The 15513-nt window shown below is 48.9% G+C and overlaps 1 protein-coding gene across 8 annotated transcripts in view, besides 9 other annotated features; it reads right to left on the reverse strand.

The window, feature by feature from the left end:
• Positions 1-574: part of an enhancer, noted in NCBI's record as "OCT4-NANOG-H3K27ac-H3K4me1 hESC enhancer chr22:37584661-37585296 (GRCh37/hg19 assembly coordinates)", that runs on past the window's edge. NCBI's record gives its function as "activates a minimal SCP1, AML or CMV promoter by ChIP-STARR-seq in naive and primed H9 embryonic stem cells {active_cell/tissue: H9 hESC(naive and primed)}" and the evidence as "EXISTENCE:reporter gene assay evidence [ECO:0000049][PMID:30033119]".
• Positions 1-10741, reverse strand: part of C1QTNF6 (C1q and TNF related 6) — a 19258-nt gene extending 8517 nt beyond the window's left edge. For 2 of the 8 annotated variants that reach the window (XM_011529857.3, XM_047441111.1), the window contains exons 1-2: positions 6699-9016; positions 2183-2246 (exon numbers count right to left, since the gene is read on the reverse strand). The gene's annotated coding sequence lies outside the window, so the exon portion shown is untranslated. Of the gene's footprint in view, positions 1-2182; positions 2247-6698; positions 9180-10586 lie in introns of those variants that run through there. The other 6 variants (XM_047441114.1, XM_024452153.2, NM_001365878.1 and 3 more) reach the window with 6 other exon arrangements.
• Positions 575-1208: an enhancer, noted in NCBI's record as "OCT4-NANOG-H3K27ac hESC enhancer chr22:37585297-37585930 (GRCh37/hg19 assembly coordinates)". NCBI's record gives its function as "activates a minimal SCP1, AML or CMV promoter by ChIP-STARR-seq in primed H9 embryonic stem cells {active_cell/tissue: H9 hESC(primed)}" and the evidence as "EXISTENCE:reporter gene assay evidence [ECO:0000049][PMID:30033119]".
• Positions 9026-9596: an enhancer, noted in NCBI's record as "H3K27ac-H3K4me1 hESC enhancer chr22:37593748-37594318 (GRCh37/hg19 assembly coordinates)". NCBI's record gives its function as "activates a minimal SCP1, AML or CMV promoter by ChIP-STARR-seq in naive H9 embryonic stem cells {active_cell/tissue: H9 hESC(naive)}" and the evidence as "EXISTENCE:reporter gene assay evidence [ECO:0000049][PMID:30033119]".
• Positions 9597-10166: an enhancer, noted in NCBI's record as "H3K27ac-H3K4me1 hESC enhancer chr22:37594319-37594888 (GRCh37/hg19 assembly coordinates)". NCBI's record gives its function as "activates a minimal SCP1, AML or CMV promoter by ChIP-STARR-seq in naive H9 embryonic stem cells {active_cell/tissue: H9 hESC(naive)}" and the evidence as "EXISTENCE:reporter gene assay evidence [ECO:0000049][PMID:30033119]".
• Positions 9849-10078: a silencer, noted in NCBI's record as "silent region_13680". NCBI's record gives its function as "represses an Ori minimal core promoter by ATAC-STARR-seq in GM12878 lymphoblastoid cells {active_cell/tissue: GM12878}" and the evidence as "EXISTENCE:reporter gene assay evidence [ECO:0000049][PMID:35858748]".
• Positions 10869-11048: a silencer, noted in NCBI's record as "silent region_13681". NCBI's record gives its function as "represses an Ori minimal core promoter by ATAC-STARR-seq in GM12878 lymphoblastoid cells {active_cell/tissue: GM12878}" and the evidence as "EXISTENCE:reporter gene assay evidence [ECO:0000049][PMID:35858748]".
• Positions 12238-12327: an enhancer, noted in NCBI's record as "active region_18947". NCBI's record gives its function as "activates an Ori minimal core promoter by ATAC-STARR-seq in GM12878 lymphoblastoid cells {active_cell/tissue: GM12878}" and the evidence as "EXISTENCE:reporter gene assay evidence [ECO:0000049][PMID:35858748]".
• Positions 12348-12397: an enhancer, noted in NCBI's record as "active region_18948". NCBI's record gives its function as "activates an Ori minimal core promoter by ATAC-STARR-seq in GM12878 lymphoblastoid cells {active_cell/tissue: GM12878}" and the evidence as "EXISTENCE:reporter gene assay evidence [ECO:0000049][PMID:35858748]".
• Positions 15239-15288: an enhancer, noted in NCBI's record as "active region_18949". NCBI's record gives its function as "activates an Ori minimal core promoter by ATAC-STARR-seq in GM12878 lymphoblastoid cells {active_cell/tissue: GM12878}" and the evidence as "EXISTENCE:reporter gene assay evidence [ECO:0000049][PMID:35858748]".

Consider the following 15513-nt stretch of genomic DNA (forward strand, 5'->3'; position numbering starts at 1 on the left):
GAATCCTGGCCCTGCTACCACAGTCGCGTCGCCTCTCAGAGCCTAGGTGTTCCAGAACTGCAGTCCTCAGCCCCCTTTGTGCCAGGCACATGGGAGGGCTTAACCCATGTTTGTTGGGTGAATGACCAGGCTGACCTCCTCAGGTATCATGCAAGTGTTACCAGAGAGGGGTACTGATCAGACCCCAAGAGAGAATTCTTGGATCTTGCACCAGAAAGAATTTGGGGTAAGTCCACAGAGCAAAGTGAAAGCAAGTTTATTAGAGAAGCAAAGAAACAAAAGAATGGCTACTCCATAGGCAGAGCACCCCCAAGCACTGCTAGTTGGCTATTTTTATAGTTATTTCTTGATCCTATGCTAAACAGGGGTGGATTATTCATGAGTTTTCCAGGAAAGGGGTGGGAATTTCCTGAAACTGAGGCTTCCTCCCCCTTTTAGACAATATAGGGTAATTTCCGGACATTGCCATGGTATTTGTAGGCTGTCTTGGTGCTGGTAGAAGTGTGTTTTAGCAAGCTAACACATTTTAATTAACATACAATGAGCAATAAGGATGACCAGATGTCACTTTCATTGCAATCTTAGATTTGGCAGGTTTTGGCTGGTTTGTTTACCGCATACTGTTTCTCAGCAGGGTCTTGATGACCTGTATCTTGTGATACCAGTCCTGCCAACTTCCTATCCCTTCCTGTGACTACAAATGCCTGACCTCCTGGGAATGCAGCCTGGCAGGTCTTAGCCTCATTTTACCCAGCCCCTATTCAAGATGGAGTTGCCCTATTTTGAACACCTCTGACATATTTCCCTACTCTCTTTTACGAGGGAACGTTTAATCTTAAGGGTTGTAGAGGCATGAAGATCCATCTTCTGTAACTTCTTCAGGCTGAATAGAGGCGATGATATTCCTGCCTAACTATTAGAGTCTCTTGGGTTTGGTGCAGAGAGGAACTGAGTAAGAAAATGTTGGTGTGTTCAGAGTCATTTGTAACTCTGAGTCCTAACAAAAGGTGATATCTGGAAGATTAATGTGTTCAATTTAAGGAAGCACTGAGTAAGCTTATCTTGCATTCTTACACAAAGAGTATAGCAGCAATATATTCTACAACAGCAAAGTAAAATAAGTAAAATTATCCCAAGTAATCCAAATAAGAAGGCTTTCCATGAACTGGGCAAGAATGCCTGTGACTTATCGGGTAAAATGAGGCTGAGACCTACTGGGCTGCATTCCCAGGAGGTTAGGCATTCTTAGTCACAGGAATTGCTAGATGAGCTGATACGGAGTTGCTAGACGATTCCAATACATGCTCAGAATTAGATACTGATCCAGATTTTTATGTTATCCATCCCTCTTGTTTCTGACGAGAAGCAGTCAAGAGATGACTGTTTGGTTCACAGAAAGAAGCAAGGTCAGTCTAAATTGCAGACAAAAAACTCAAAAACAATGGATGAGACTAGAATCTATGACAGGTGTACCATATTTTTTGAAACACCGTTTTTCTCTCTCCAGTCTCCCATTTTTTATTAAAAACAAATCATGGTAGGACCAATTTATTTGCAAAATAAGCTTTAGTCTTATTATACTTGGCTTCATTATTTGCATAAAGTGCAGCAAGTATAATTATTTGCCATACAGGCTCCTTTTAAAATTGGCTTTGTTTCATAAGGTATCTTAGATTAGATGTTTTAAAGCTTTGAGCCCAGCCATGGATTTACCTATGCCTGCAAGAACCTGTATGAGTTAGATAAATTCCTCTCCTCTTGAGGTCCCGAGATAACTCGGGGCTCCCAGGCCTGTCAGAAAGTTACATTCTTTACTTACCACAGGTCAGGAACCCTATACAGGGACTTCATACACAAGGTACAAGACCAGTTTTTCCAAGAGGCTTTTATTGGCTCTATTAGTCAACTTTAATTCCTTAAAGAAGTCTGTTTATATTTGAAAGCATGCCACTCGAGTCAAACCCTTGTTAAATAACCAGTTTCTCCAATTGTGTCCTGTTACAAAAAAAAAAAAAGAAGAAAGAAGGAAAAACAGATTCTTACTGCACTTATGCAAATAACTATATTGCCGTAAGTTAAGAACACTCACAAATAGTTTCCAAATTCTGCAGAAATCAGGTAAAGAGAAAAAAACATATTCCAAATTTTGTTTTTGGACAAAACTTTGTTTTATAATCCTTACCGGAGCGTACTTTACTCAATTGTTAAAAGCTGTAAATAGCTCAAGAAGGGGGGGTTTCTTGACTCTGAAAAACAAAACAGAAAGATCAACAACATTTTAAGCAAAAAGTCATAAAAGATTATTTCAGTCTTTTATTAGTTCAGTCTATGCAATTAATTCCTGTTTTGCTTGATATATATGTGTTAGTTTTCCAAGAGTCTTGGATGATGTTTTCTTTTTCTCTGCATTTAAGAGTACTCATCAGAGTCCTATAGCTGATTATAAACCACCTTTTGAAGAGAATAAAAGCAAGACAACAATTGTCTATGGATGACAGAAAGACTTAGAGCAGTCATGGTTAAAGAATTAATATCATTGACTAGGAAATGTGGATACCTCTGTGGCATATAATAAATTAACATCATAACAATTATAATTATTATTGATAATGTCCATTAGTATTGATAATGTTCATATCAGAATTATAGGAGTTTCCCATAATTTTGGAACACATACCAATAACATATTTATATAAACACAGCCCAAAGAAAGCCAAACACAATTTCATATTTGACAATGCTTCCTGTATTATTTTAATGTACCAAATAAGCCAAATATGTCATTTTTGGACTTTAGGGGACCTAATATCTAAAGGACTAATCAGGTTAGAAAAAGGCATAACTTAGAATTTGATTTTGGAAAGTTTGTCAAATATCAAAAATTTAAAACATTTGATACTACAAAATAGCATCCCAGGTCACCATAAGTCATTTATTTGGCCAAAATGATAACTCAAAGATGTTTTTAAGGGCAAAAACCTTTACTCACCGATAAAGGGAAGACTTAGCTTTCCAAAAAAAACTGTCTCTTTTCGTTCCTTTCTTTTTTCTATAGCTTATTCAAAAGGCAAACAAAAATCTTTAATTATTTTTCAATATTACATGAAAAACTTGTTCAAGAGAGAAAGCCAAATTTTACCTTTGCATTTGTGTACTATTAATGTCAAACCCAATTCATAATAAAGCCTTATAGACAACTCTATCCAATTTTAATGTTTGACCATGAGGTAAGAGTCTCATAAACCTTTTATAGCTCTTTACAATTTTCTTGTTAAAGAGTATACCAGTGCTCTAAGAAAACCTTGTTATACTTTTATTCCATATTTAATTTATGGAAAAACTGAATAATATCCCTTTAATTTAAGCCAATAAGTTCACACAGAATTTCTTTTACAAGATTAATCTTTCACAAACCTTCCATAACTTGCTCAAACCTTCAGCTTTATCCTACCTAACTTGAAACAATCCTTTAACCCTCTAAAGTAGGGGGAAAGTCCACATTCCCATGCTTTCTTATAATCTTCTTACCAAAAGCATATTCAATTTTCCTTACACACCTTGCATATAAAACTGTTTCTCTAGTAGTCTCAATTACATATAACATATTACGATGTTAACTCTTAGCAACTTTTATTTTTTGGTGAAAAACCTGGTAAGTAAGCAGTTTTACTTATATTCCAGGTGTGGAGCCTAGGACAGCCTTATCTGCAGAAGTGCAGATAAGGTCTGACTCTTTCCAGCATAGCTGGGGGCATGGCTAACTCGACAAGTCCCCAGGCCTTATCTAGAATCTAATGGCCCCAAAGCAGGTAAGCTGGGCAATTTTCAAAAGTCAATGATGCAGTTTATGACCTTGAGGCATTTAGCAAACCTAAAATCTGACCTGCCTAATTTAGACCAAATGTCTAAAGTTTGAAGATATTTTAATGTTACTGATAATCTTTAAAACTGTCTCTATTTCCCAAAGATTATTAAAGTCATGTGAACCAAAAGGCATTAATGTTTCTATTTTTCTGACAAAATATTTGATTTAAGTACTTATTATTTTTAAGCCAATTAATCAGAGCTCTTTCATATATCAACATCACACACACAACATATATAAATACACAGACAGAAGATCCAGTAGTTGTAAGATTTTTCATTTGCCAATTTTTAAGTTTCTTAATTGGATTACTGACTTCAGGGTGGAGCCCTTCAAGAAACAGGGCCAGGAAAGCCTGCAGTTTCTAAGGCCTAATAAGCAGGCACAGCTGGAAGGCAAAACAGAACCCCAAAATTAAGGGTTTCATTTTTATATTGGATCCTGGATCCCAAAGAGAGGGAATCAGCCCATCCCCCATGGCAGTCTTATCTTTCAATGGAGGGTGGGGACACTTCCATACTTTCTAGGTGGCCAAGAGCATGCTTTTCTGATCCAAAGGTGCGAAGAGCCAAGTATCCCCACAAAACTGCCATTAGCCATCCCTAAAAGTGTATTCCCCACCTAGTTATTACATAGCAAGGCTAAAAGCTCTCTTAAAATGCAAAGTAATTTCTGATATCCCCAAAAGTCAAAACTGTCAGATAACACAATACAAAACAGAGCAGAGCCTTAGATTTTGAGAGTGGTCTATCTGCTTTCAATTCCTGGGGGTGTCCATGAGGAGAACAGAGGTTTCTCCCAAAACAGGGTCTGTAGCACCTCCTTTTTTCCTGAGAAGTCCCAGGCTATTAAAATTTATCTTAGGTCCTCTCAGGTGGGGCATCAAGAGTGGCAAGAAGACAAAATGGGGAAAAAAATTAAGTCGACTGAAAAGAAAAAATTTTTCAGAAAAATAAGAGCCAAGAAGAGAAAAAAAAGCATAAAGGCCTTTTAAATATATGTATAGCTTGGATATCCATTTTTAATTAAGCTGACTTTTAACCAAATCTTGTTACCAGACTCTAGCCGGGACAAACAGCCAATATTTCTGGCTTTTGAACTTCACTAACAGTAACCTCCCAGGTGAAACCGGTAAGCCTTAACTAAGGTTAGCACTTAACCCAGGTATACAAGGTATTTTCAAAGAGGTGATAAGCAGTTTTTACGAGATCTAGAATCGCCAAGGGTAGTGCAGAGAAAGGAAAATTCAAACGAGAAGTCAGAAGCTGTTTATGGAGAAGAAAATGAATAAATGGCAAAGGTCACATAGATATTAAACCAGAAAGGACTCATTCCCTAAGGTGGGAATTGAACCTGGGTCCCCAGTGTGAAGAGACAAAGCCTTAGCTACTGAGCCACGGCACTAGACAGTTTCTGTTTTCCTTCCTGGAAGGAGCCCAGAGAAGCCAATTTCAAGCGTGCAAAGGCTTTTAACTGCTCAGGACAATTTTTAGGGCTATCACATGAAGCCCCAGCTTCCTGTCGTCTGGATGGTGGAGACTAAGAGAAAGTACTCCCACACGGTCACAAGGTTAAACTTGCAAGGACGTAAAAAAAAAGACAAGACAGAAACCTCATCTAGTTTTTGTTTCAGGGACCTGCCGCCAAGTTTGTAACTGACGAGTTTGCTGGGCCAACTTGAATAATGGGCTTATATGGGTCCTAGGCCCACATTCTATCCTATAGTACCTCTTTTTATGACAGACTGACACAGAAAGAAAAATTCATAGCACTAAGTACACCAGATTTTCTAAAGCTTAAGACTAGCCCCCATGAATTCTTTTTCGTATTAATCAAATTCCTTGCAGGAGAGACAAACAGTGATTTTTATCATTTATTCAACCAGTTTGCACCAAGAGAGGCCAGAAGCCTGACTGGTAAGAAATTCTTACCCTTTGCCAGCATGCCAGGTTTCTGGGTTCCCTTTCTCTCTGTGGCTTTGATGGCCCTGCTTACTGTGCCATTGCTATGGGGGCCAAGACACGTTACAAAAGAAAATCGTCTTTTTCCATTTCATGGAACCACAGGCAAAAGCCTCTTAATTTTGTAAGATGCTGTCCAACAGGCTGCATGGGGAAACCAAATTAACATTTTCCATTCCAGGAGACTAGCCACCCCACTCAGTGCCCAACATCAACCTGGCAAGGCTCAAACTTGCTCCCGATGGCCCTTGTCATCTTTGATCCACTCCAAGTGAGGTGGAATGCCCTCCAACCAGAAGTTTCAACATATGGTAGCTGGGCAAGATGGAAGAGTGGAGAGTCACCCTGAGTGACAGAAAAGATAGAAAAGAGAAAGGAGAGAGGAAGAAAAGCATTGCCTGCCGGGGGGTGGAGAAGCTGAGGAGCTCAGGGAGGCCAGAGGCCTCCATTCCATTGACACTGGATCAATAGTTCAGGAGGTCGCTTGTCAGTAGCAAAGGTATCTTTTCCAGCAATCTCATCATCTCTAAAGTTTCCCCCTTTGGGGAGAAGAAAGCTCCCCATGTCCCATGATCCTGTACGTGCCTAATCCTGTCACTCACAGCTGTCAGCAAACAGTGCAAGGCAGATTAATGAAAAGAGAATAGTGGTTAATATCCCATAGTGCCTAATCCATTTCTCCTTACCAAGGGACATGACCGAGGGGGACCTCTAACTCCCTAAGGACTCCAACCTTCTTCATTTGGGCCTCTAACCCAATTTCTGATAAGCATCTTTGCCCTTCACTAAGAGGGGCCTTTAACCCCCTATTTCTGAGGAGGGAACCTAACCCAAATCCATACATTACCCAGAATAAAATATCCCTCACTTACCCAAAGTCAGCCAATTGGGGCTGTAGTCTATTTCCTTTGGGTTGAGGGTGTTTTCTGGTATCGTCCCTTCGTGGTTCACTAGAAAAAATGGTACTGGAAAGGGGTCCCAATCCAGACCCAAAGAGAGGGTTCCTGGACTCGCACAAGAAAGAATTTGAGGTGAGTCCACAGAGTGAAGTCAAAGCAAGTTTACAGAGAAGTAAAGAAACAAAAGAATGGCTACTCCATAGACAGACCACCCCTGAGCGCTGCTGGTTGGCTGTTTTTATGGTTATTTCTTGATTATATGCTAAACAAAGGGTGGATTATTAATCAGTTTTCCAAGAAAGGGGAGATTTCCCCAGAACTGAGAGTTCCTCCCGCTTTTAGACCGTATAAGGTAATTTCTGGACATTGCCATGGCATTTGTAAATTGTCATGGTGCTGGTGGGAGTGTCTTTTAGCATGCTAATGCATTATAATTAGTGTATAATGAGCAGTGAGGATGACCAGAGATCACTTTCATCACCATCTTGGATTTGGTGTGTTTTGGCCGGCTTGTTTAGCGCATCCTGTTTATCAGCAGGGTATTTATGACCTGTATCTTATGATACCAGTCCTGCCGACTCCCATCTCATCCTGTGACTAAAAATGCCTAACCTCCTGGGAATGCAGCCCAGCAGGTCTCAGCCCTATTTTACCCAGCTCCTACTCAAGATGGAGTGGCTCTGGTTCTAACACCTCTGACACAGGGCCAGGGCGGCAGCCAAGTCGCTCCTCTATGCTCCAGCCCCAGCTACACCAAAGTCTTCTTCCTCTGACTGGAATTCTGCCATTGTTACTGACTCACCCTGGTCTTCTAGAACTATTCCCTTGTGGAAATGACCCCCAACAAGTTCACAGGAGGGCAGCCTGTTTGCCTCTGGGTCTGGCAGGGTCCTGCCTCAGTTTCCTTCTTGTTAGGCAGGGGGAAGTTTGGCAAAGACTCTCTGCCCTGGCTTCCTGGGGCCCGAGACTCCTGTATAAAGACTGTCTCAAATGTCCCTTATCCTCCACCAAGGGATTTGGTGGGTTTTGGCTGGCTTGTTTACAGCATCCTCCTATTCTACATTTGTTGAAGACTTACTGCCTGGGCCAGGTCTCATCTCTCTAGGGGCTTTTGGTCCCCAAAGGGTGTTTATATCCATTACTTCAACTAGTCCTAGGGAGCTGGGGTCAGGCAGCTGAAGTGACTTGCCCAAGGTCACATAACTGGTAGAGAGGAGCAAAGCCCCCTACAGAAGGGAAGACTCTCCAACCCGATGGAATTCCCTCGGGGCTTGGGCATGGGCGGGGAACAATGCCTGCAGGTCAGGGCCGTCCTGGGAGGAGGGAGGTGCAGGAGTGCGGGGACCCCGGCGGGGAGTGGGGATATATTTAAATCTGGGGCTTCAGGTGCTAAATCCCATTCCCCCACTCACAGCTGGGCCAAGTGTGGAGGATGGGACGGCCCCTGGGCTCTGCGTCCTCAACCAGGGCTCATCCTTGGGCCTCCAATTTCCAATTTATTTGGGGGGATAATCAAACAGAAGAATATGAAGCCTGGAAAGATCCTCAGAAATGATCTCATCTGATTCTTTCATCTGACCAGCAGGGACACTGTGGCCCAGGGAGGATTTATCTTTGGCCCAAAGGTCACATGGCAGACTACAATCCAAGCTGGGATGACAGCCAGACTCTCCCAACCTCCAGCCTTGTGCTGTCACCCCTCCCAAACCGACTTGGAATCCCCCAGGTCATCCATTCAGGGGTGCAAGGGGGCCCAAAGGAAAGCAGACTAAAGGACTTTGGCCACTGGGAACACCCAAAGGCCTGCACTGGCCCTGCTCTCTACGTGGCCCTGCCCCAGGCAGCATTCCCAGGGCGCAGAGCCAGGGCTGCAGAGGGAGGGAGCCAAGGGGAGCCTCCCTCCCTGCTTCTAAGGGAAAAGGGTTGAGTCGGCAGCACTGGAGAGGGAGACAGCTCCTGCCTGGCTCCAAGCCTTCGGGCTTAGAAAACCTGACCTTCTGAGGAAACAGGGATAGAGAGAACCATCAATGGGACTTGGGGAGAAACAGGCTGGGGACACAGCAATGGTTTTGTCAAGGGCCAACTGTGTGCCTGGCAGTGTTCCATACCGCCCTCAACAGCTCCTCTGCAGAGAAGAGCTGTTCAACCCACTTCACAGGTGAGGAGGCTGAGGTCTGAAAAGCCAGGCAACTCACCAGGTTCTGGTGCCAGCTCATTTGGCTCCCGGCCATGCAATGCCCCGGAGAAGAGCCTCCTGTCCCTCTAGGTGCAGGGCAGCTGGCAGGAGTCAGAGCAGACAAGAGAGAACTCTGGAATATTACACTTCAGTATTTTCCCTCCCATTAGCTTTGACCGTGCCTGAAAATTCCTCCATTTGTGCGTCATCCGTTGGTGTCCCAGCCTTTCTGACGATCTCCTCAGCTGGTCAGGTGGCCTGAAAACAGAGCTCCAGCCCTGGGGCAGACAAACCTGGGTGATGACTCAGCTCCCCCTCCTAGCTGTGTGACCTCGGGCAAGTTTACCTCTCTGAGCCTTGGTGTCCCTGGGCCAGATAAACATGAGGAGGCCAGGACCATCGGGGCCGACTGGTGGAATGCCCGATGGGGGCACTCCCCACTGGCCACCCATCAGTAAAGCTGTGTGCCCTTTCCCAGGCACCCTGGGACCCAGGACAACAGCATGACCAGGAGGAGCGCAGGCCCAGGGTGGCTCTCATCACCCTGCTATCACTCCCAGCAGCAAAGGAGTAACCCCAATGCAGAAACCCAGGGTACAGGCCCTGCTTCCCCAGCCACTCCCCACCCTTTCCCCTGCCTCCAGAAGCTGGCTTTTCTCCCCAACCATTCTGTGGGCCTTCCATATCTTGACTCCTCTAATCCTTCCAACAATGCTCTGACGTAGGCACACGTGTTACCTCGTCTGTCCATTTTACAGACGAGATAGATGAGGCACATACTGACCAAGAGCCAAGCCCCTGGCCACCATCCTGCACTCGCCCACGTTCCAGCCCAGGGTCAGGAGAGGGTGTGAAAATAGGCACATTCAGTCAGCGCTTACAAAGCACGGCGCGCTTCATGTATTTAAAAAATAAAATGTGTGCCTGTCAAAAAGGGAGACAGGACAGTAAACATGATTCCTGGCGTCCGCTATGTAGGCTCTGAGTGGCAAGTCACAGATCTAACTGTTCAAGCGCAGAGATCAATTTCAACAAAGGAAGACGCGAGCGCCTCCTGCTGGGCAGAGCCCCCGCGCCCGGGAACCCGGGACGCTCCCCGCTCCCCGGTCCCCGGCCCCCGCCCGTCCCACCAGCCCGTCCCCTCAGGGAACTTTGGGGCAGGCCAGGGCGCCCATGCACTCGCTTCTTCCTCCAAACCCCCGCAGTCCCCGCAGCAACCCCCACCCCCCACACACAAACCGGCTTCCTCCCACGAGGAGAGCCCCGGGCCTGGTTCTACCGACTCCCCCACGTTGAACCGCCCAGGGGCCGGGGAAAGTTTCGCTCTCCGGAACCAGGTTCCCCGTCCTGGGCTTTCAGGACGTCGGATCCCAAAGGTGTTCAGCGGAGTTGGGCGGGCTGTCATGTTTTACAAAAGGGGAAACTGAGTCTGGAGAGCGCCAGCTCCGCGCCAGGCCCTCTGCCCCGGCGGGAAACCTGCTGATTGTTGGAGGGGAAACCGAGACTCAGGGACACTGAGGGGCAGCAACTTCCTCCCCCGACACGACAGAACAGTGGCAGAGCCTGCCTGCTGGGGCGTGCGGCTGGCGCCAACCTCTCCCTTTCTCCCTGCAAAACGAAGGCGAAAGACGCCCCCACGCCAGGCTCGGGGAGCCCCTCCCTCTCCACCCGCTTCCCCCTCAAACCCTGGTTCGTGTCTCCCTCTGCATAGCCCAGGGCCCAGGCAAGCGGAACCCCTACATCCACGACAGCGCCACGGGCCCGAGGGACGAGGACCTGCCTCTCTGGCCCACCCGGGCCTCGCGCCCGGAGGGCGGAGCCACAGCCGCGCCGGGAAACTGCCTTTGCACTTCCGGCGTAGGGCGAAGCCGAGCAGATCGGAACAAGGCCGAGTCTGGCCGAGTGCTGCCGAATACAGCCGAGTAGAGCCGAGCCTGGCCGAGTGGAGCCAAGGGTCGCCGAATAGAGACGAGTCCAGCCGAGCGGAGCTGCGGGTCGGATACCACGCGGCTACTGGGCGAGGCCTGAGGACCCGCGGCGCCCCCTGCCGGGCCTGGGGAGCACAGAGCCACGCTCCAGCCGTCCCCGCAGCCCTGCGACAGGCTTTTGAGATGGGCGTGGGAGCCCATTTTTTCGGATGAGGAAACTGAGTCTACGAGAGGTTCTGAGGCTGGCTCAAAGGCACTCAGCGCTAAGAGGCAGTGGCGCTGGGGTTCAAACCCGATTGCGTGGCCAGGAGCTCACCTTTCACTGCCGACCACGTAATGGGCATCGTGCGTTTGTTCCGTTCTCCCTCTGGCAGCTGCCGTTTGATAAGGCCCAACAGGGAGAGCCCCTCCCTTCTGAAGAGCAGGCGCAGGGTCCTGGCTGGAGCTCAGAGGCAACCCCTGATCTTACAGAGGGAGACACCAGGCAGGCTCTGGGGCCTGTTGAGCCAGCAGTTCCCCTGAGCAAATATTGACACATTTGCTGGCCTTTAAAGCGGACAGGAGGGTGGAGAGGCCACATCCCAGCTCTTCCCCTGCTAGGATCCGATACACCCCACCCCACCGTAGGCCTCAGTTTCTCCACCTGTAAGATGGTGACAGAGGATGTGGGTTCCAGGAGAGTGTGAGCCAGAACCTGAGGTGTCTGGGACCCCAGGGGACCCTGAGTGTGGCCCAGGCACCTTTTTTTTTTTTTTTTTTTAAGATGGAGTCTCGCTCTGTCACCCAGACTAGAGTGCAGTGGTATGTTCTCCGATGACTGCAACCTCCGCCTCCTGGGTTCAAGCGATTCTCCTGCCTCAGCCTCCCGAGTAGCTGGGACTACAGGCACGTGCCACCATCAAGCCCAGCTAATTTTTTTGTATTTTTAGTAGAGACGAGGTTTCACCATGTTAGCCAGGATGGTCTCGATCTCCTGACCTCGTGATCCGCCCGCCTCGGCCTCCCAAAGTGCTGGGATTACAGGCGTGAGTCACCGCGCCCAGCCGGCCCAGGCACTTTTTTTGAGCCTATGAGAAAATGAAGGTTTGTCTCACCCTCCACACACAGGTGTGCACTCATGTGTGCCCGTCATTCACCCCTCAGTGTGGTGCACGCTGCTGTGAGGTTTGCTGGAGGCCTGCTGGGATTCTGGGGAGGAACCAAGGTCCCCATGGGGCCTGGGCTGCCCTCTGCCTGTTGGGTCTTCCCAGAGGGTGTTGTCTGCCATGGCCACCAGGGACACCAGTGGCCTCAGAGCTCTCCCCACGCCCAGCATCACTCCCGTCCACTCAGCCCCCATTTTCATAGTTTTGTTTTTAAACTATGGGCCCTGGACTAGGAACTGTGTTTTGGATCTGGCTCAGACCCAAAACAGCCCTTGGCCACCAAGCTCTGGACCTTGTTGGAGAGTTTGAAGGAATGAATGGGTTAACCCAACAGGTCCTCTGGGAGACCCAGGAGAGAAGGGGCCATTATCTCCATTTTGCAAGTAGGAATTTTGAGTTTGCTAGGCCTGCTTTAACAAAGCACCACATACTGGGAAGACTTAAACAACAGAAACTGATTGTCTCACAGTTCTGGGGGTAGAAGTCCAGGCTTGGCCTCAGCAGGGCTAGTTCCTTCTGAGGGCTGCAAGGGAAGGAAGAGCTGTTTCAGGCCTGCTCCTAGCTTCTGCTGCGCTGGTAATCGTTGGCGTTCCTTGGCTTGCGGATGCCTTGTTTGATCTTTACCTTCATGTTCACATGGCGTCTCCCTCCTGGGTGCCTGTCTGTGTCTGAATCTCCACTTTTTTTTTTTTTTTTTTTTTTTTTGAGATGGAGTTTTGCTCTGTTGCCCAGACTGGAGTGCGGTGGCGTGATCTCAGCTCACTGCAACCTCTGCCTCCCAGATTCAGGTGATTCTCCTGCCTCAACCTCCCTAGCTAGCAGCTGGGATTAGAGGCGCATGCCACTATGCCTGACTAATTTTTGTATTTTTAGTAAAGATGGGGTTTCACCATGTTGACCAGGGTGGCCTCAAACTCCTGACCTCAGGTGATCCACCCGCCTCAGCCTCCCAAAGTGCTGCGATTACAGGCATGAGCCACCGTGCCTGGCCTCCCCGCTTCTTAGGGACACCAGTCGTATTGGATTAGGGGCCATCCCTGCTCCAGTATGACCTCTTCACTACCTACAACTGTGATGACCCCATTTCCAAATATCAGGTCACATTCTGAGGCTCTGGAGGTTAGGACTTCAACATAGAAATTTAGAGGGGGACAGAATTCAGCCTTAACAGGAATGGATGCCCTAGGAAGCCCTGTGTGACACATTCTCTGTCCCTAAAAAGGGGCCTCTTTGCTACCTTTCTTCCTTTCACTCACTGCCTTCCTCCAGCTCAGGGCCTTAGCACGTGCAGATACCTCTGCCTGGCACACTTAGGCTGAAACTTCCACTCTAGATGCAGCTCCCACCAGCCCCCAACCCTCCTAGTGCTCTCCCAGAGCACACTGCACTTCTCCCTCCCCACTGAGCCCCCAAAATAGGGCTACACTTCCTTGTGTGGTTGCCTGTGAGTGCTGAGAGTGCGGGACCCCTGTCCATTTGCCTGCACTGGCCCCCAGCCGCATGTCAGGACCTTGCATACAGCTGGTGCTCAGAAAAGCCTTTGTTAGCTAAGTGAACCACATCCAGAGGTGAAATAAATGGCCCAAGGCCACACAGTAGGTTTGCTGCGGGAGACATAGGGCCCAGGCCTGCTGACTTTGGCCCCATGACTTTCAGGGAGACATTTCTCCCTCAGCCCTCCAGTGGACTTGCTGAGATGCTCAGCAGGGCCTGCCAGAGACAGGGAGTACCCTGAGGCCTTGGAGGGATGGTGGCCTTGCACACCTCCAGGGGGTGCCCCTCACACTACAGCCTGGCCTTCTCGCCGTGTTTTTTTTGTTTTGGGTGGGTTTTTTTGGTTTGGGGTTTTGTTTTTGAGATAGGGTCTCCCTCTGTCATCCAGGCTGGAGTGCAGTGGCACAATCTCGGCTCACTGCAACCTCTGCCTCCCGGGCTCAAGCGATCCTCCCACCTCAGCCTCCCAAGTAGCTGGAATCACAGACATGCACCACCATGCCTGGTTAATTTTTGTATTTTTGGTAGAGACGGGGTTCCACCATGTTGCCCAGGCTGATCTCGAACTCCTGAGCTCAAGCAATCTGCCCACCTCGGCCCCCCAAAGTGCTGGGATTACAGGCTTGAGCCCGACCGCTCGCTGTGTTTTCTTCTGTGTGGAGTCCTGTGGAGTCCAGCTGTCAACTCCCATGGGTCAGTGGCCTCACCTGCCCCATCGCTTCTAGGTAAAGAGGATCCCAAAGATCTGGGGGCCGTGGTCTTTCCTGCCCCAGGCCCTGCGGGTTCCCAGCTCCCCTCTGATAATGCTGATGCTGATGCAGGAAGTCCTGGTCCAGAGCCTGGTGGCCAAGGGCTGTTGCCTGGCAACCGCCTCGGAGAGACAAGTTCAAGGTAAAGCCTCTGGTCTGAGCAACTTCAATGGCTGGAGGAGGAGGAGAGGAGTGGGCAAGGTGCGTTATCATCACTCCTCCCTCCCTGCTCCTGCTCACAACTGCAGAGCCTCCCCTCACCCTACAGCCCCAATGGCTCCCCTAACCCACAGATTCTAGCCCCAACCCCATACAAGCTCCTTCAGTACCCCTGCCCCTTATCACTCATTTATTCAGAGGCACCATGCTGTAGCTTCACAGGAGGTTACAGGAACAGCGTGTACAGTACCCCCTGCAGTTGTGACATGCAGTGGCCCCCTTTGTTCATTCATTCCAGATACTCCTAAGAAAGGCCACGGCAGCACTGCCAGGCCCGGGGAACGCAAGGCTGCCAGACACACGTGTGTGGGGGGACAAGCACATGCACACACAGGCTGCACGTGAGCATGCACAGGCGGGGACACCCAGTGTGGTGGGGAAGCAAGGGCTGCCGGGGCTAGGTGAGGGACCCTACCCAGGCAGCCACTCCCACCCAACGCTGGGGCCCCAGCAGTTCCTCCACTCCCACCACTTGCACACCGGCCGCATGTCACACCTCAGTGCCCATTCACTCACGGACGCAGCTAAGATGTCCCGACCACCTACTGTGCACCCTGCACTGGGCTCACACAAACCTGGACACACAATATCACACCCAGCAAAGGCAGCCACACACAGCAAACCCCACACACACCCAGACCCGCATGTTGTTGGTTGCTGGTGCCTGGCCCACCTCCCCTAGCCATTAGTAGGCTGTCCCTGACCCACCCCTGCCCCACAGGCCAGGCCAGAGTGTCCATCACAGTGCCCTACCTTCTCTCTGGCTGGAAATGTAGGCACATGACCCGCACCTGGCCAACCATGGCACCCTATCACCACGTCTTTGGTGATTGGCCCAAGGGACCATCATGTGACCTAGTTGGAGCCAATCCACTTTCTTCCCTGAAATCTGCTATTTGGATAATAGGGAGAAAGGACATCTACTGCTTTTGGATCAAGGTCTATAAGGATGTGGGCTCAGCCCCATCAAGGGTATCTTCCATGTTCCCTGAAGGACCTGGACTCTGGGAGGTCACACCCGAACAGGCCAGGGTGCACGGAGCCCACACACACCTACACATTCACACCCATCAGGAC

The sequence above is a fragment of the Homo sapiens genome, chromosome 22 (genome assembly GCF_000001405.40).
Source record: "Homo sapiens chromosome 22, GRCh38.p14 Primary Assembly".
Classification (NCBI taxonomy): Eukaryota; Metazoa; Chordata; class Mammalia; order Primates; family Hominidae; genus Homo; species Homo sapiens.